General features: G+C 33.0%; 1 long non-coding RNA gene across 1 annotated transcript in view; it reads right to left on the bottom strand.

Annotated features, from left to right (window-relative positions):
• The window catches only part of LOC105374553 (uncharacterized), an 84694-nt gene that overhangs the window by 29976 nt on the left and 32995 nt on the right, over window positions 1–21723 (bottom strand). The gene's annotated exons all lie outside the window — the stretch shown is intronic.

Below are 21723 nucleotides of genomic sequence, written 5' to 3' on the forward strand. Positions count from 1 at the left end.
TAAATTTTGTTTCATTTTCAAATAATTTAGTTTTTTTAATATCCCACCTTTGTTTTTTGTTACTTTAAACACAGATATTATAGTCTACATTTTTTTTAATCAGGGGATTAATTCAGTTTTATTTTGTGGCTAAATTTGCAATGGGTAATTGACAAGTGTATTTTATGAAAAAATACAGTCATTAATGATATATTTTTAAAGATTATAAAACGAATTCCAATTCAAGAGACCAATAATAAATTATTGAAATTAAACCGAGGAATGTAGAAGTGAAGTATTAATAAAGACCAAGGTTTGTATTCAATAACTAGAAATCAAAAATACCGATTTAATTTATGAATTGGATGCCAAACATAAATTCAGTAAAATGAACACAAATATGATAAAGCCAATTAAGAGGGAAAAATGCAACTATATAATTGGCAAAATAAATACCATTCCAATTATGAGATAATTTTAAAATGTAAGAGAATAATATATACAAATTCACACTAATTAAATTGAATACTTTTATAAATAAATATATTTTTGAAAATTTAAACAGTAAAAACTGACAAAAGAAGAGATGGTTAACTAGATTAAAACAATCAAATATAGTGAATTTTAACAATAATCAAAATTCTAGACATAAAAATAAGTAAGTACTGGTCATAATTTTGGATAACGTCTATAAAACTGAGAATACCTACAATAAAGTATGTTAGAAGAAAAGCTTCTAAATCCCAGTTCATTAAGCCAACATGATTCTAATACGAAAATATCTTAATATTCCTGTAGAGTAAATCACAAATCAGAAAAAAAGCGATAGTATATAACATACATTATTAGTTACAATTTTTTATGTTTTTGATAATATAGGAATGTGATTCTTGACAATTTAGGAACAATAAGCTTTTAGGTATAAGATAATACAGGATATCAATTTTTTTTTGGAGGATCTGATTATTCTGGAAAAACACAAAAGAATGTAGAAACAGATTATTGGCCCTTCTGAAAGCAAAAATTTCACATTAACCAGGCAAGGAAAACTTTATTCAAGAAGACTGTAATAGAGGAGAGAAGCCAGAAGCAGTCTCAGCTCAATTCAGCTGAGCACAAAGGACTGAGGAGTTAAGAGCCAGGCCAGCTACCTGTGTTTGCTAACCGGCCTTACCCAAAGGAAAAGTAAACTTTCTCAGATCTTCATCATCAGTGGTAGTTTTACAAATTAGAGCGGGGAAATAAAATAAAGTTAGGCTCCTGTCCTGATACAGGAACAGGGAGAGAGGGGTGAGAGGGATGCTATTTTCTTTGATGCTTGCATTACAAAGAGATGGTTTCTAGGTCTTTGAGAAAGATATTTTTGGAAAGTAACACCCTCAAAAAGTTTAAAAAGTATTTACATCTCCCATGGCTCATGCCTGTAATCCCGGAACTGTGGGAGGCCGAGGCGTTGTGGATCACTTGAGGTCAGGAGTTCGAGACCAGTCTGGCCAACATGGTGAAACCTTGTCCCTACTAAAAATACAAAAAAGTAGCCAGGCGTGGTGGTGCGCACCTGTAGTCCCAGCTACTCAGGAGGCTGAGGTAGGAGAATCCCTTGAACCTGGGAGGCAGAGGTTGCAGTGAGCCGAGATCACCCACTGCACTCCAGCCTGGGTGACAGGGTGAGATTCTATCTCAAAAAAAAAAAAAATATATATATACACACACACACACACACACACACACACACACACACGCACACACACACACATCTCAGTGGGGCAGGAAAAAAGAATTTACAATAACTTTTCAGAAAAAGGAGCTTAGGATATATAGTCAGAAAGAAGACTGTCTGAAGTTTAGTCAGGCTGAGAGATGCACTAAGCCTTGCGCTGGCCACTCCATACAAGAATATAAATAGAAATGGCATATATATTCGATAAAATAGAAAATATAACAACACGATAGAAAAAGTTTCTTTCACAATAACAGAAGACAAAAGATGGAAATAAACTACATAAGACTTTACACGAAGCTTTTAAACAGAAATTTTGTAAGAAGACTAAATATGTTGAGAAAGAATTCCAAATTAGTCTTACTTAAAATAATGTGTCCTAAATCCATGGAAGGGAAAACTCGACTGTATATAAATTGCATAAAGCTCAAAAAAGTAATAGAATGAAAGTTAAAATTTCAATGAGATTCAGGCTTGGCAATTGGCTTAATAAGACAAATGTTTACTTTATAAAATAAATAGATAAAATGAACAATACATATTTTGAATAAGGAGGTAATTAAAATGTGATTTGTTCTTCCAGTTTTGAAAAAATATTAATAAAATTGCTATGGTTGAAATACTACTTTAAACACAGAGAGACAGATAAGTAGAGCAGATCAGAAAGTTCTGAAACATATCAATATTTATATAGGACTTTTGTATGTGATAAAGATGGCATTGGAAGTTTGTGAAAAAACAGGTTATTACATTAGAGGCATTGTGATGGCTGGTGATCTGCCTTACACTTATTGAAGCCTTTCAGAATAATAAAGAAATTCAGCATAGTTGTTACATCCAAGTCTTCTCCAAAGTCATATTGAGGTCTGAGAGACTCGGCTTAATATATAACTGAAACGCGAGATCGCGCCACTGCAGTCCAGCCTGGGCGACAGAGCAAGACTCTGTCTCAAAAAAAAAAAAAAAAAAAAAAATATATATATATATATATATATATATATATATACATACATACATATACATATAACTGAAATGTTGTCTTTACAAGTCTCACTTTCTTTGCAAAATTGGGCATAAAAATAGTTCTTAACTCATTAGATTATTTTAAATATTAAATTAATATATGTTATTTGCCACTTACATTCTATGCTTGACTAGCAAGCATTGAATATAATTTTCTTTTTTCTTTTTTCTTTGTATTTGATTATTTAATTATTTATGTATTTATTTTGAGATGTAGTCTCGCTCTGTTGCCAGGCTGGAGTGCAATGGTGCGATCTCGGCTCACTGCAACCTCCGCCTCCCGCGTTCAAGCGATTCTCCTGCCTCAGCCTCCAGAGTAGCTGGGATTACAGATGTCTGCCACCACACCCGGCTAATTTTTGTATTTTTAGTAGAGATGGGCTCTCACCATGTTGGCCAGCTACTCTGGAGGCTGAGGCAGGAGAATCATTTGAACCCAGGAGACGGAGGCTGCAGTGAGCCGAGATCACACCACTGCACTCCAGCCTGGGCTACAGAGTGAGACTCTGTCCAAAAAACAAAACAAACTAACAAAAAAAGAAAGTAATATGATATAATGTATATTTTTAAAAGATCTTTCTATAGAGAATGAATTATTAGGGGTGCATTAGAAGCAGAGAAGCCATTAAGAAATGATAGTGTTTGACAAAGGTGGCAAAGAGAAACAGAAAGAAACTTCATGAAGGAGAAGTCTGAGAGTGGCCTTATTTCCTTGTGACGTGTGTTTTCATGTTGTGGTTGTCGTTTGAGTTTCTGGTTATTGTCATTTTTATTGTTTGTAATATTTTTCTGAGTACCTCTATTGCATTGGGAAGTAGTTGCCTTAAATATCTGATGTAGAATATGTAGAAAACTGGGTAGAACTACGATGGGCACAATACATTTGAAGATTTGAAAGGTTGGAGAACAAAATAAAGACAGAAAAGGCGGATGGTTTATGTGGTACAAGGGAAAGAACTTGAATCTCTAATGGAACCCTCGGGTTTCTAGATCTTTGGAGGAAATTGTTATATTTGTGTACTTAAGAGATTTATGATTTATGTTCCATTGATTGTATACATTGACTGGAAAATAAGTTAAAGAAGTAGAAAAATGGAATGTAAAAATACTGACATATAAAAATGGAAACAGATTTTTACCTCACTGAGAAAGTCAATTCAATAAATATATATTTAGTATGTACAATTTAGAAATCAGTCTGCTTGGAATTACAAAATAGATGCTTGCTTATTTGACTTGGTTGTATTGAATTGAAGTAAATTGACTAAAATTGCACAATAAGGAGTAACTAATGTGATAGTCATCGTGTCAACAATAGGAAGAAAGATGTATGAATTTCAGAAGAGTTTACTGGATGAGAGTAACAGAATGCCAGCCTGAATATGGCAGATGTGAACAGGTGTGCACAAAAGTATCAGAAAATACTTTTTGATCTTGTCTGAGTCAGATGTAAGAAAATAGCAAAGAAATATCAACAAAGCCTTAAAAGCTAGAATAGCTTGTATATTAATTTAAATTTTTCCTCTTTTAATAAAAAGAAAAAGATTATTCATGAGTGGAATAACCAGGAGACAAATAACAAATTAGAATGTTTTAAAGTTGGTTAAATCTAGTTCTAGAGGCACAAGCTTATATTGATGCACAACATAAATGAATTACTCTCAGGCCCTGGCAATTGAGTATGCAATAATTATAGCATAATGAGATAATGAAGAGACTCTGTCAGGTTTTTTTTAAGCAGAGAGGCTTGAGGATACAAATATTTGAAAACAGAGAATACCAATTAGTTTTCATGTTGCCCTATTAGTAGGACAGAGACTTATATTTTGTTAATTCTGCAGTGAAATGAAAGAAGGAGGGAAACAAAATGCAACTCATATTATGGTGCTGGTGATAAACAAGTCATGGCCATTATGTGCTGGAAACATAGTAATTGAAAATCAGATTTCCTTGCCAGCAAAAGCAACCTCTGAACTACTGTTGCACAAGTGATACATAGGATGGGGTCTTAGTCCGATTCCTATATTCTCTCTGTTTGCTTGGAATTTGGATCCCAAATGTGACATTTATCAGTACTTATCTAAAGAATATCTTAACACCATTTTAGGTTAATTATCGTTATATTTAGGTCCTAGCTATTTGATTTCTACCAGGCCTGGAAGGGTACTTAATTTTATACTTAAATTTATACTGCTTTGTAGGTGTCCAGTAAAATTAACATTATAAGTAGCTGTGCTCTAAGGTTAATTTGTTCTGTAAAATTACCCATATTTCTCCAGGGCATTCATTAGTGAAATAAAACAGAGAACTAATCTAGATGCAGAAGGATTATTGTTATTGCCATATGGTTATTTTTGATAAAATTCCCATTGAGATGACCTCCCAGGGATGGAACAAACAAAGCAGATTATGACAAATCTCAGCTCATATATAGCTTGCAAAAGCCACAGATGAAATTCCTGAGAATTGCAAGCCAATACAAACATTCGGAGGCCACTTGCTACTTGCTGCAGTAATGTATTGAAGAGTTTTTCAATGACATTTTGATGTTTCATAGGTATCTCAAACAAATATTATTAAGAACTAAGTTAAGCTTAATATTCTGCAGTAACGCTGGGCACATTTCAACAATTCAAATGCATTTCCAAACACTATTTGGCCTTTTGAGACTGAAAATAACAGTTCCTATAGGAAACAAGGGATATTATGTCTTTAAAACACACACACGCACACACACAAATAAAAAATATAAATTATCTTGAAAAAGGTAATACTTTGACATTTTTAAATAGACGTATAATCCATTTTGCTAATTTCCTATGTTTTCTTTACTTTTTGTTGTCATGTATGTTTATATTAGTTTTATCACAAAAGACTCAGGCTGTAGAGATTATCACAAAGTAAAATATAGAAGATCTCAGCTCCCATCCATACTCTTCCTTCTTCAAAGGTAATAGGTTGTAATTTGCTGTAAAATTTTCTACTCTTTGTTCTGTTTATTTGCTTGCATGTACAGCATATGTATATATTTACATTTTTTTCCAAATTTGGATTAAGTCGTGATTTTTTATTCCTATAATTTGATTTTTTAATAAAATTTTGATTTGGGAGAATTTCTTGAAGGAGACTAGGGTAGGTCATTCACAGAAGAGAAGAAAGTGTTTAACGGCCACTGTTTCAACAGTAGAAGTTTGTTGACCATTCCAGGAGCTGAGATTAAGGTAGAAAACTCTTTAATTTTTCTATGCTATGTAAATTTTAAAACAATATAAATATTAAGAATATGCATATTTATAAACTGTCTTTTCACCCAACATTATGTCAGCATTTTCCCATGTCATTGCACTTTAATTTTAAAGTTTTTGTGTTGGTTTCTTATATGTATTCACCACAATTTACTTAAATATTACATTTTTACATAATTCTAACTTTGACTTTGGAAATTTCATTTTTTCTATTAATATATAATGTTGTAATTAATATTATTGAGCATAAATCTTTTTTCTCAGCTAAGATCAATATCTTAGCAGAGCTTCTCATAAGTGAAGTACTAATTTAAAACTGTTAATACTTTCAGAGTAGTTGTTGCCTTCATTTAAACTGAGGTTAAATAGAAAACTATTTTATTAAAGCCTCAGAGTGATATTATGAGTGATTGTGGTTGGTTAATGATATAAAAGCCTCTTAACTGCTTTGTTTTAAATGCTCCAACTGATAAGATTTTCATAAACCCACTTCATTAATGCCGGTTTCCTCTTATAGCTACCAAACTTATGTCCATGGAACTGCTCTGTCTCTGTACACACTGGTAATTACAGTTTCTCAAGAAACTATTTATTTAGAATACTTACAGCCTGTTTGGCTCAAGGAAAAGAAAAACAAATATCTCTAAAATATTATATGGAAATTAAATCACCTAATCTGTTGACAATGTTGAAAACTTTGCTTGGCCTACCACTCCTAAAAGCTCATATATGTATGCTTATATATGCCCAAATCTTAAATTGTACTGAATTTAGCTAGGGTTCCGTAGCAGATTGAATTCATAGGAAGGCGATGATGTAACTCACGGAAGTGAAAAGAGAGCTGAAGAAATAGAGCTGGACAATTTTGGAAAAATCTGTTGACTTCTCCAAGCAGCTGCCATTAATACAACTCAGTTCCAGCAGTTCCCTGTTTTTGATATCTCCAAGTCCAAATTTCACATGCTTAATAATGAGGATCCAGTTCACCTACTCATGATCCATGTTCCAGGACAAAAATTTCAAAGGACACATAGCCACTGAGGATACAACTCTGTGTGTTTAGTGGGACAGAAGAATTATCATGAGCAGGCCACATCTTAATTGTCCTAATTGGTATCATCAACAGCTGCTAAGAATCTTGATACTTATTCATGAATATTTACTAAATACACTATGTAAGTGAGAAAACAAGTTTAGAGACTGGTATTAGGGAATTTGTTAGATTTGTCTTTTGAAAGCAACAGGAACTTGAGGTGCTGTCTAAAATTGGGAAGTATATAACAAGAAAGTTTTCTGTTTGGGTCCTAGCTTTGAGCAAGCTTAGGGTCAAATGAAAGATTACCATTTATTGTTAACATATTTGCTGTTTGCTGTAGGTTCTAGTCTTAATTTTTTAAATATATCTTTTTCATTCATCATGTAGGTCACTGTAAATTGCTACAAATCCTGTGTCATGGTTCAGAAATACAAATAAGTAATAGAAATAAATTTTCATAAGGTTATATAAATTAGGACTAGTATTAAACTCCAGGTTTGTGTCTCAAAATACAGCTTCAAGTGCATTTAACCATCACTGTTATTAAAACTCAAAACACCCCAAGTCATTTTAAATTTCTACTCCACTGTTTAACCTACAGCTTGCCTTCTTTCGCTTCTCAGATTATTTTATTAATAATGGTAATTTTAGACTGATAATTTTTAAATTCTCTTGCTTATTTATTCTATTATTATATAACTTTAAACACAGTTGATTCCAATGCAGCTGAAGCAGTTGCCTGGAATTGGGGCAGATAAAATCTACAAATCATAATTTACGTTGTCAAGAAAACCTAGTTCACTGTTTTAATAATTATTTTTTACTAAGAAGTAAAAGCCAGATTGATTTTGACAGTTTTTATAAGGACGATAATATCAGAAACTTATCAGATGATTATTATATATATATTTCACAGAAGATATATATATATATACACATAGATGGATATAGATAAATGAAAAGTTCTACAGTTAGAAAATCATTTGTTATCTCTAATAAAGGTGTGAAGAGAAGTTCAAATAACTATAATAAGGTAAAAAATATATATTACATTTTTACCTGGCATCAGAATTTTGTTAGGTAGTAGGCTGTCTTTTTTTAAAAAAAAGTAAGTATCTTGCCAACCTCCCTTGAATCGGCATACTGAGATCCAAAAGATATTATTTGGAAATCAATTAAAAAATAGAAAGATAGCCTAAGAACCATAAATTTGAGGTTGGAGAACCTGGAGAAAGAGGAATGGGAATGGGATTAGATTAATTAAACTATGGATGTGGCTTGAATTTAAAGTCTGGAGACCTGGAGAACATGATCAGGAAAGAAATTGCCACTAGCAGTTTGGTCAAAAGACTTTTATGAACAGGACATTTCTTAATGTTTTATTTTAAAGTGTGTTACTGTAATATAAATGTGCCCTTCCTCCAACTTCTGCAAAACATTTGTTTATTTTTCGAGACAGTCTCTCACTCTGTAAGCCAGGCTGGAGTGCAGTGGTAATCTTGACTTACTGCAATGTCTGCCTTCTGGGCTCAAGCCCAGCCCCCAAAGTAGCTGGGACCGCAGGCATGCACTGCCACTCCTGGCTAACTTTTATATTTTTTTGTAGAGATGAGGTTTCACCATGTTGCCCAGGCTAGCATTCTTAAATTCTACTGTATGTATGCATTGGTTTTATTTCAAAAATACGTGCATATTTTTATTTTATTTTTGAGTGTGGGGAGATCAAGCAAAATAAGCTATATATCACTCTTGAAACAGCACTGAATACAGAGAAAAGACCATCTGCAGAATTAGAGACATGTATGGGATCAAAATTTGGGTAGTTGTAAGTAGAAAAGGCATGATTGTTTCAAGGGGATGATTTAAATGGATTAGGTTTAAATATGAGAGGATAAGGTAAACTCATCTGGCATTTTGAACTCATTACTGAAGCACACAAAATAACATAAGTACCATCGAAGAGTTTAAAAAATGGTGGGAGATAGAGTTGATAGATAATTCAAGGCAGAAATAGATCAAGCATTTATTTGGTCATTTTCAAGAGGGTAGTTGAGGATGATTTAAAATTCTTCAAAGTGAAGAAGGGAAAATATATTCCAGAAAGAAAAATGTGTTAAAAAGATGATTGGATTCCTTTGGCTTCAATACGCTTATACAATGTCTCTGGAAGAAGTAATCTTAGAGTCACCCTGGTAAGATGAAAAATGTTTTTTGATTATAGATACTCAATACAGAAAACTCCTGCCGGTGGCAGAATGAATCCTGAAATTGTGAGAGAAACATCCATCTCATGGATATACTATCACTTTTATCCAGACTTGATAGGGCTCCAAAGTGAGATATCTTTTGAGTATTTTATATGTTTTATTGTCTAGATGACTTGGCTATTGGTTAGAACTGTAGATATAGATATATAATGTTTTTATTTGTAATTAACAAACTTGCCTATATTTATGGAATTGAATTATTAAATCAAACTAATGTATCAAAAGAACAGTAGATGATTTATAAGATCTATTCTCCTCTCTCATCACTTATTAAAGAGGGGCTAAGAAAACATTTGTAGAGGTATGTGTAACTTTTACAAGAAATAGATCATTGAAAGTGCCCACCACATAGTTGGTATTAAAATCTGTGTGGATTGATGAGATCACATAGATCACAGTGGTGCAGATAAAAATCAAAAAGGTCATAGAAAAAAGTCTGAGTCACTTAAAAATTTGAAGATTTTTTTCATCCTGATATTTTGGAAGCATGAGTGTGGAATAGAATTTGGTCAGAATCACCTCAACCCATATATTTGGAATCAAATTCATAGGTGCGTTATGTGTCCCTTCATTTATTTGTATTTCATATATATTTGTATATGTTTATATTTCATTTATTTATATTTCCCTCATTTCTTCTTCTTCTCTCCTTTTTGTGCTCTCCTGATGGAGGTATATACGTCATAACTTTATTAACTTCCAACTCAGTATTCACAATTTGGGGAGCGGGTTATCTTTGTATGTATAAACTTATAAATTTTCTACAAAACAAAAGGAGTTAGTAGAGCTTGGAATAAACAGTCATGGGTGCATAAGATGTGTGATGGTTAATACTGAGTGTCAACTTGATTGGATTGAAGGGTGCAAAGTATTGTTCCTGGGTGTGTCTGTGAGGATGTTGTCAAATGACTTAACATTTGAGTCGGTGGACTGTGAAAGGCAGACCCACTCTCAATCTGTGTATCATCATCTAATCAGCTTCCAGCATGATCAGAATAAAAGCAGGCAGAAGAACATGGAAAGACTAGACTGGTTTAGTCTTCTGGCCTACATCTTTCTCCCGTGGTGAATGCTTCCTGCCCTCGAACATCTGACTCCAAGTTCTTCAGTTTTGGGACTTGGACTGGCTTTCTTGCTCCTAAGCTTACAGATGGCCTATTGTGGGACCTCACCTTGTGATCATGTGAGTCAATACTACTTAATAAACTCCCTCTTATAAATACACCTATCCTATTAGTTCTGTCCCTCTAGAGAACCCCGCCAAATACAGATTTATGTAAATTTTCTGTAAGTTCAAGCTTGCTGTATATAAAACAAAGCTTAGAGTATTATGAACATTGTCATTGACAATAATTTTTCATTTCTATTTTTTGGCTAAAAGAATTTACTAAGTAATTCACTCACACTCACAAAGTCTATTAAACAATTAGCAAATTACAGATTTTTAAAATTCTACCATAACATGTCTGGTACATTGGTTATATAGGGTAAAAATTGATCTTATAGTTTTTTATGCCTCAAATCAAATATAAATTTGCTTCATGTTCTTCTGATATTTATACTTAGGAAAGTCTTTTTATAATAGAAAATATAGACATGAATGTGAAGAGTAGCATTGACATTACTGCACTAAAAATTCATTATTATTTTTTTCTTACGCAAATTAGTTAAGTCTAGTTGCAGAGCTTTTCACATGAAGATGGTATTCAGTTCCTTCACTATTTATAGATACAAACCATACAACTTAACAATTAAATTCTGTCAGGCATTATTTTCACAATATTTCACCTGCGAGCCTCTCTCTCCTCAGTCAGATTTTATGCTTACCAAGGGCAGGTCCATTTTTATAGTAATTTTGTATTCCCACTGAATCTGTGATAATGTTTTGTGCGCAGAATATCATCTAAAATAATTGATTGGTTCATATCTTATCATCATATGTCCCCACAATTTTATTCTTGATTTTATATGACTGGTTTGGCGAGGTATTAAAAGGTCATAATTATGAGCAAACTAAGAATGTAAACAAGTCAAAACAAATAGATTTAAACTAATTTTTATTATTTGATCTATTTAAACAAATCATAAATGTAATTATTATTATTTGCACAATGCAACAAGTATATGTGCATATCTCTGTGTTTGCATATTTAATATTTATTTGGAGAGAAAAAGAGAATGTATTCAAACTGAAAATTTAACCCAAAACAAAGTTTGGTGACATTTTTAAGTTATACATGTTATGAAAGAAATAATTTGAGAAAAATGCCTTTCATTTTCATTAGTTTACTTTCCTAATATTATTTGGCATTACTTTCCAGTAGATACAGAGACATGTTCAGCACAGTCTTGACCATTCAGAGCATATTATTTAGTAGGGAACAAGGCAGGTGCAAATATCTATAAAGTAACCAAACCTGTGCCAGATTACTTAAAACCAGATATATTTGTAATGTGACCATATATACAACTAAAATGATAATGGCTAGAAAATATTTCATTGATAAAAGTAAAATCACAGTACTGAGTTAAGAGCAAGTTGAAGTCCTTTTTGTAGGTGAACAGTAGAAATCCTAACCTTTATCCTAACACTAATCCTAACTAACACTCTGTTAAGTCTAAAATTTGAACCAGCTCTTAAATGATGGCTATCATATATAGCTGAAGATTTCAAGGAGAAAAACCATTCCAGATGGAGATCAGCTTGAAAAAGCATGATAGTAAAACAGTACGGTGAGTTTGAAAACTGGCAATATGGTCTGTTTGTATACGTTTTCTGATCTGTTACAGCACATTTAGCAGTTGTTTTTCTGTTTGTTTGTTATTCCCTAACCCATAAAAGATGTAAAAATGGACTAAACTAGTGCCTGTTTCTATCCCACACCCACTGCCCATATTGCACTTCAACATGTGTTTCATTTCTCTGGTTTCTTTTTTGATCACTTCTAGTTTTCTCTCTCTCTAACCCCCTGATTTTGGTACATCTGTTGGAGCATCTGTCTAGCTTTTCATTGAATCTTCTCTAAAAAGGATATATCCCATCACTTCCCTCGCCCCAAGCACCACTGCCGCTCATGCCTGTTTATGACTTCATGCCTGGTCCAGCCCTCAAGTTGGGGTGATCAGCAAGAGGGCGGGTACTGTCAGAAATAAAAGCTGAGTTCATATCATAGTGGAGATGATATCAATTAGCACCTTACATAATTTTTATTTTATTTGACTCATATTTCTAATTGTATTATTTTAACATCTGACACATTGTTCCTTTTATTAAAACGTCCTGAAAAAAATTAAATCTATGAATTATTAAATATGTATTTTAATTTGTTTCATATCCAAATAAAGCATAGTATTTATTAAACTGCAATAGGAAGCCAGTGAATATTTTTTAAACTGCAGTGAGATGCCGCTGTGAAGCTGGTCAGTAGTGAAGCTGTACGATTGTAAAAGTGCTTTATGAAAATAACATCTGGCCATAAAATCTAATCTCCTATATAACAATATAATTGTTTTATTGTTAATGTAATAATGTAGCATTTTTGAAAATAAAGTTCTTTGTTCAATTTTTAAATTGAGTGCTCTGATTTATATACCACATTCATGTATATTTGCTTTGTTCCTTCCATTTGTTTAACATGTATAATAAGACTTTGTGTTTTAAAATACAGAAGACAAGGCAGATAGTTTCTAAAGGTAAGTATACATATGCATTTTTAAAATGACAAAATTCAAAGCATAGAGCTAAGAATGCTGCTAAATAAAATTGAGAATTCAATGGCTGGGCTTAACAGAAGATTAGATAAAGCTGAGGTTACTAAAAGAGAAACAACCACATTGTTAAACAGTAAAAAAGCTTAAGAATAGAGCCCCAGTAGAGAAAAATAATGGAGCAGAAACATTTTTAAAAAGATATTGGCTAAAATTTTTCAAAACTAGTTTAAGGTTTTAGGCTAGACACTCAAGAAACATTACTTAGACTAAATAAGATAAATACAAAGAAAATCACATCATAGCATACTAAAATAAAACTGAGACCAGCCTCCCAAATAAAGGAGAAAAAATATTTTAAAAACAACCAGAAAAAACACAACTGTTTCCTTTCAAAGTAGCAATAATAAAATGATAGAAGACTCATTAAATTAAACACTAAAACTCAGAAGCAAATGAAATGATTTCTTCAAAGGCTGGAAAAAAATCTTTCAATTCAGAATCCTACTCAAAGCAGCCTTAAAAAATAATCATACAATTAAAACATTTTCAGAAAAAAAACTGAGAGAATCTGTCACCATCACTAAAGAAAACACTAAATAATTTTTTTAACTTTTTTTGTCTTTTTTTATTGTACTTTTAAGTTCTAGGGTACATGTGCACAACGTGCAGGTTTGTTACATATGTACACATGTGCCATGTTGGTGTGCTGCACCCATTAACTCGTCATTTATATTAGGTATATCTCCCCCGTGCCCCCACCCTACAACAGGCCCCGGTGTGTGATGTTCCCCTTCCTGTGTCCAAGTGTTCTCATTGTTTAATTCCCACCTATGAGTGAGAATATGCGGTGTTTGGTTTTTTTGTCTTTGCGATAGTTTGCTGAGAATGATGCTTTCCAGCTTCATCCACGTCCCTGCAAAGGACATGAACTCATTCTTTTTTATGGCTGCATAGTATTCCATGGTGTATATGTGCCACATTTTCTTAATCCAGTCTATCATTGATGGACATTTGGGTTGGTTCCAAGTCTTTGCTATTGTGAATAGTGCTGTAATAAACATACTTGTGCATGTGTCTTTATAGCAGCATGATTTATAATTCTTTGGGTATATACCCAGTAATGGGATGGCTGGGTCAAATGGTTCTCATAAATAATTTTATTTTATGAGAAAAAAGTAATCCCAGAAGGCAACTCAGGGAATCAGCAATGAATTTAAAAAGCAATGAAAAATATAATTATGTATATTAGTAACAGTTATAAGACTGAGTAAAAATAGCACTAATACTGGTCTCTGAGTGTACTGCATATATAGAAGTAAATAATCAGCAAACAATAAAGTAGCAAGGTAAATGGAATTAAAGTGTTTTAATAGGAAATAATGAAATTATTAATTTATATTAAACTATGATAAGTAAAGGATATTATTATAATTTTTTGGATGACCATTGAAATAATAGTTGAGTATTAATAGAGGGAAAATAATAAAAATATAATCTAGGCATTAGGAAGAGCGAATAAAAATGAACACAGTGATTTGAAACCAAAAGAAAAGTGAGGATATACTGGGAAAGACCAGGGAGTGAGGGGCTGGTGTAGAGAATCCCATGGCAAAGTGCAAAAGGGTGGGCCTTTATTTCCTTAGACTGGGGAAAGTATGGTTCTATGTTGATCCATTTTTCATGAAAATTTTATTTAAATATTCTAGTCTGCCTCTACCAAGGTAAGAGTAGTCTCAAGGGAGTTACATGAATCTTCTGCACAGGCCTGAAAATGGCATCATTGCAACATTTGAATTCACTTATAGGAGATGAGTAGAGGACTGCTTGTGTGACCCATTTCATCATCTCTGGTGCTTTGATTTGCTTTTTCCTTTTGTCCATAAAGATATGAACTAAAAAAATATGAATATAGAAAGGCCTCTGTTTTGCTAGCACTTTAGAGGAGTGGGTATAAGATGTGGCTTCCAGCTACAGCACCTTCCAGAGTGTTTGTTGCTTGAAATGATTTAGGCATTTCTGATAGAACTGCCAACTGCCATGACTTTTTCTTTGGAAAAGATGTTAGCATTATGCACAAAGAAAAATCTTCATAGCTTCTGACATGGTAACATCACTTCTACAAACTTTCCATAATAAAATACAATTTTGAAAATTAAACCTGTGTTCTATTATGTTCAACAAAGATTCATAATAGAGACAATCATAAAATAATCTAAATGGCTAGTTATATTTAAATACTTAACTGCTTTAAAGAACATTTATGAAGTCTAATATGATTTTAAAATACGGTAATAAAAAACAACAACAAAAGAAAGCCCAGGACCAAATGGAGTCACAGCTAAGTTATATGACCCATACAAAGAAGAACTAATGTCAATCCTCCCAAAAGTGCTCCAGAAAATCAAGGAGGAGAGACTTCTTTCTAACTTCTTATATAAAAAGGCCAGTATCACCTTGATACCAAAGCCAGACAAGGAGACACACACAAGATAAAACTACACATCAAAATACCTGATAAACAGGGAAACAAACATCCTCAGCAAAATACTAGCAAACCAAATCAAAAAGTAAATGAAAAAGATACTACTCCATGATCAAATGGGTTTTACCAGGGATGCCAGGATTGTTCAACACATGCAACTTAACAAATGCTATACACCACATAAACGGAATTAAGGACAAAAAGTATGATTATCACAATAGATGCAGAAAAAGTATTTGACAAAATTCATGATAAAAATCCTCAACAAATTAGGCAGACAAGAGGCATACCTCAAAATTATAAAGGCCATATATGACAAAGCCATAGCCAATATCATACTAAATTAGGAAAAGTTGAAAGCAGTCACTCTAAGAAATGGAACAACACAAGGATGCCCACTTTTACCATTCCTTTTCAACGTAGTACTGGAAATTCTAGCCAGAGCATTCAGGCAAGAGAAAGAAGTAGAAGGCATCCACATTGAAAAAGAAGAAGTCAAGTTTTCCCTGTACACTGATGATATAATCTCATATCTACAAAAGATACAAGAAGACTAAAGATTCCACCAAAAAAACTTAGCTTTTATAAGTGACTTCACTAAAGTTTCTGGATATAAAATCAACATCCAAAAATTAGTGGCATTTCTATATACCAATAACAATCTAGAGGAGAACCAAATCAAGAAGGTAATCCCATTTACAACAGTGACTAAATTAAAAAAAAAAAAACTTAGCTAATATATTTAACCAAGGAGGTGAAATATCTCCACACACACACACACAAAAACCCTACTAAAGCTGTAGATGACACAAACCTCCCTTCTGGTAATTAGAATAATTAATATTAGTAAAAATGATCGTACTTCTTAAAGCATTAGACAGAGTCAATGCAATCCCTGTCAAAATACTAACACCATTTTTCACAGAATTAGAAAAAACAATCCCCAAATTCACATGGAACCATAAAAGAGCCTGAATAGCTAAAGCAATCCTAAGCAAACTCTGGAAGCATCATAGAATCTGACTTCAAATATACTACAAAGCTGTAATGACCAAAACAGTATGATACCAGTATAAAAATAGACACAGAGATCAATGGAACATAATAGAGAATCCAGAAATAAAGCTATTTATCTACAGCCAATGGATCTTTGACAAAATTGAGAAGAAATGCATTGGGGAAAAGACACCCTTGTCATTAAATGATGCTGGGAAAACTGGATAGGCATAATGCAGAAGAATAAAACTGAGCTACATAAGAAAATCAACTTATGATGGATTAAAAACTTATATATGTCCTAAAACTATAAAAATATTAGAAGAAAAGCTAGGCTAAACTCTCTGGACATTGATCTAGGCAAAGAATTCAGGACTAAGACCTCAAAAACACAAGCAATAATAAAAAAATAGACAAGTCTTAAACTAAAAAGCTTCTGCAAAGCAAAAGAAACAATTAACAGTGAAAAGACAAAGTGCAGAATGTGAGAAAATATTTTCAAACTATGTATCTTACAGGGGACTAATATCCAGAATTTACAAGGAACTCAAATAACAACAAAAACAAAATGAAAACAAATACCCATTAAAAGACAGGCCAAGAACATAAATAGATGTTTTGCAAAAGAAGACATATAAATGGCTAACAAGCATGTGAAAAAAATGTTCAACATCCCTAATCATCAGAGAAATACAAATTAAAATCACAGTGAGATATCATCTTACACCAGTTAGAATAGTTACCAATAGAAATGTTATAAATAATGCCTCCTTTAATTTCTTCTATCCTTTATAGGAATATTGAAAGCACTAAATGACAAAATATATACAAAGCACAGAGCACAATATTAAATTGCCTAAGAACAAAAAAAGAAAAAAGAATAGTTATGTTGGCAAGGATGTGAAGAAAAAGGAACTCTTATACATTATTGATGGAAATGTAAATTGGTACAACTTCTACATAAAGCAGTATGCAGATTTTTTTCAAAGATTAAAAATAGTACTACCATTTGGTCCGGAAATCCCACTACTGGTATCTATGTAAAGAAAAAAAATTATTATATCAAAAAACTCTCTAAACTTGTATGTTTATTGCAGCAGTACTCACAATAGGAAAGACATGGAACCACCCCTCATGTCCATTACCAGATGATTCAACAAAGAAAATGTTGTGTGTGTGTGTGTGTATATATATAGATATATATGGAATATTTTTATTCCATATAAATATACAATGGAATAGTATTCACACATAAAAAATAAAATCATGTGTTTGCAGCAACATGGATGGAATTGGAAGCCATTATCTTGAGTGAAACCAGTCAGACACAGAAAGACATATGTAGCATGTTCTCATTTATAAATGTCAATTAAAGATGTACACATGAATATGAAGTTGGAATGACAGAAAAAGGAGGCTCACAGGAGTGAGGCAGTGGGAGGAAGTAGATGATGGTAAATTACTTAATGGGTACAATATTTTATTCAACTGATGAATACACCAAAATCCCTGACTTTACCACTATCCCATCAATCCATGTGACAAAATTACACTTGCACCCCATAAATTTATAGCAATAAAAAAGTGCATAAAAATAAAATTGCACAGGTACTACGATCATAGCTATGCAAATACATGTAAAGATTAGAAGAAAAATTAGCAACATGTGTCAATACATGTGACAATAGTATCTTTATATAGACATTATTAAAATGAGTGATTTTATATCTTGTCCTGCTAGTCGGTATTTTTATTTTGAGTATTGATTGTACTTTTATGGACAAATGCACAGTAAATGTTATTCAGCTTTAAATTCCCCTTGGAAAATTGCAGGAAAATATACATATATTATCATATTAAATAAATTAAATATTATATATTTATACATTTGTATATGTTAAATATAAATTAGAACATTATATATGATATATAAATATGTATTACATATATAAATTGTATGTATAGTTAGTCAATTTGACATACGCCTAAGACTTGGGGTTCCAATATAAGGTCTGTGTTTGAAGCTGGCTTCTCACTTCAAGCACTCTGAGACTTTAGATAAATTATTTTACCCTTGAATCTTAGTTTCCTTATGTGAAAATTCCTGTTATAACAATGCCTACTTTAATTCCTCCTATCCTTCATAGGAATATTGAAAATACTAAACGGCATAATATATATAAAGCACAGAGCAAAATATTAAGTTGCCAAAGAACAAAACCAAAACAAAATTTGCCAGTGAAGTGGTCAATAACTCAATGATGATAATAGGTAATCATGCTTCCAACATGATGAAAAACATATTAAATTGCCTGAATGAAAGTTTTTTTTTTGTTTTGATTTTGTTTTTTGAGACAGATTCTCACTCTGTCGCCCAGGTTGGAGTGCAGAGGCATGATCTCGACTCACTGGAACCTCCACCTCCTGGGTTCAAGGGATCCTTCTGCCTCAGCCTCCCGAGTTGCTGGAACTACAGGCACACGCCACTCTGCCCAGCTAATTTTTGTATTTTCAGTCGAGTCAGGGTTTCACCATGTTGGCCAGGCTGGTCTCGAACTCGTGACCTCAGGTGATCCACTGGCCTCAGTCTCCCAAGGTGCTGGGATTACAGGTGTAAGCCACAACACCTGGCCCAAAGTTTTTAACCAGTAGAAAAACAAATATATAACTCCTTACATTTTAGACCTAATCTAAACTGAATAAATAAAAGAGCAAATGTTATTATTAGAAAATATAACTATCCATCTGGGTAAAAAATGAATGTTGGAATAATGATAATAATAATAATTGAAAGTAATTCAAAATTCACCACTCTAGGTCACGTCCTCTACCATGAAACTAGAGCCATGTGATCGACTACGAAATGTAGTTCAAGAAAACATGTAACAATTCTTTTTCATAAACTTCTGATTTAGTGGGTACTGTTGAGAAAAACTCTGGTTTGGAGATGTCAAGTAGGATTTAATAGAGAAAGATCTAAGTTCTTTGAATTTTGTGTTTCATGTTGTAACTCCATATCTAGTCATTTAGACATTTATGTTTTATAAAGAGTCTTTTGATCTGATTATGCCTACATGGCTGAATTCTCTTATAAAACACGGAAGGTGGTTCGCAACTCTTCTCTTAGTGTGCAAAGGGGAACTCAGTGGAGTTGGACGGGGGATGCATAGGACAGTGGGGCAGGTGAACTGGACAGAAATCCAGGAATCCAGAGAGAAAAATCTATCTCAATTTGCAGTTTAAATTGACCTTTCAAGTAAGAATTGCCTTTAAGGAAATGCTTTTGTGTCAAAATGGTTTAAAACAACTATTTTAAACCAATGTTCCCCATCCTGTGCACTGGGGACACCTAGGGACAGGAATTTATTTCTACTTTCTTTTTTTTTTTCTTTTTTTTTTTTTTTTGAGATGGAGTCTCGCTCTGCCCAAGCTGGAGTGTAGTGGCGCGATCTCGGCTTACTGCAAACTCAGCCTCTTGGGTTCAAGGGATTCTTCTGCCTCAGCCTCCTGGGTCGCTGGGACTACAGGCCTGCACCACCACGCCCGGCTAATTTTTGTAGTTTACCATGTCGGGCAGGCTGGTCTCCAACACCTGACGTCAAGTGATGCACCTGCCTCGGCCTCTCAAAGTTCTGGGATTACAGGCATGAGCTACCACGCCCTGCCTCTAGGGGTTTTTAAACTATGTGCACACTAAGGATTGCCTGAAGACTAAAGTAAAAGTCACATGGTCTACATATGTGTAATATATTTATTTTTCAAATATTTACATGTGATATTATGTTTAATAAAACATTCATTTATGTAAATTTGGGTCAATGAATATTTTCCGAATTCACAGATGAAAAAGCATAGCTATTAGCAAGTGAGGGTTGGTAAACCTTGAATTGTTTTTTTTTTTGGTGAGAGGAGAAGATACAGATTTTATATACATGGACATATATTGAAAAATTTGAGGATAGTAGGTCAATTATTTTTACAGAGCCATAAAAATGTGTTGACTTTTAGTTGTCATTGATTATCCAAATATACTTTCCAGTGCTTTATCACTTTAGCTTTTAGGAATAACCAATATTTTACCGCTGAATTACAATTACAAAATACAGTTGATAAAGTAATCATTTCCTTGAAAGGGGAAAAAGTGTACTGTTGAGAAAAACTCTGGTTTTGGAATGTCAACTAGGATTTAATAGAGAAATCCATGTTCTTTAAATTTTCTGTTCAATGTTGTAATTCCATATCTAACCATTTAAACATTTATGTCTACGTATTGAGAGCCTATTATTTCAAAATAAGTACTTTATAGTAAGTTGGTATCTGACGATAGTATTAGTTTCAATAGGCTTTTTTGAAAATGTATTGTTATCTTTGTGATGAGAGGAGGGCAATGACGTGGTGTGTGTCTGTGTTATGTAGTTGGGAGAAGTGAATATTATTTAGTTTGCCAGGTTTTAAATTACTAGCTGAGGTTAATATATATTTCTACTCATGTTTCTCTCTCCTAACATATGCACAAAATCATACATATATTCACATACCCACTCCCACCAACTTAATGTGCCTCTTAATGTGCCCCAAGGTCACAGATGAATCAAACACTGAAAAGGAATCTTTTAGAAAATACTGATGAAAGCACACCAAACTAGTTAGAAAACTAAGAATATTAAAAGTTTAAAGTGGATGAAAGCGGAATAAAGGAAGACCTTTTGATCTGGTTTGGGCCTGTAATCAAAGATATGAGAAATGTACATCAAGACAGGGACCAAAGGAAAAGTTAATCTTTTTATCCAGAAGGCTCACTTCCACTCTCTTGCCTTCATTTCTGGCTTTCTTGAATAGTCAGTGCTCTTATTATGTATCCTTAATGCAGTATCCCTTCACCTGGGGCAAATCATAATCTGGGCTGTAACCTTCAAGGGAATGCCCCATGTTTAAGTCTATGAAAGCTTTTCTGGTTTTGCAAATTTACTTACAAAACTACTGCAGGAAGCATCAAATATAAAACAAATGGCTAAAACAGTCTCTTAGCCTTGAGTTCATCCTGAATGTTTATCTTTTATGATCTAACTTTTTACCAAATATAGCCAGGGGATACTTCTTTGGCATCTTACAGTATAAAGTCATAAAGTCAGAGAGATGATCAAGCCAGTTTCTCTCTAGTGTGTAATTTAAAGTTTTAAAAGATAGTGGAAGACTGAAGCAACATACTATTTATCTTTCAGTCTAGTAGACACTATGAAACAGAAAGTCCAGCCTTCTTTAGA

The sequence above is a fragment of the Homo sapiens genome, chromosome 4 (assembly GCF_000001405.40).
Source record: "Homo sapiens chromosome 4, GRCh38.p14 Primary Assembly".
Taxonomy (NCBI): domain Eukaryota; kingdom Metazoa; phylum Chordata; class Mammalia; order Primates; family Hominidae; genus Homo; species Homo sapiens.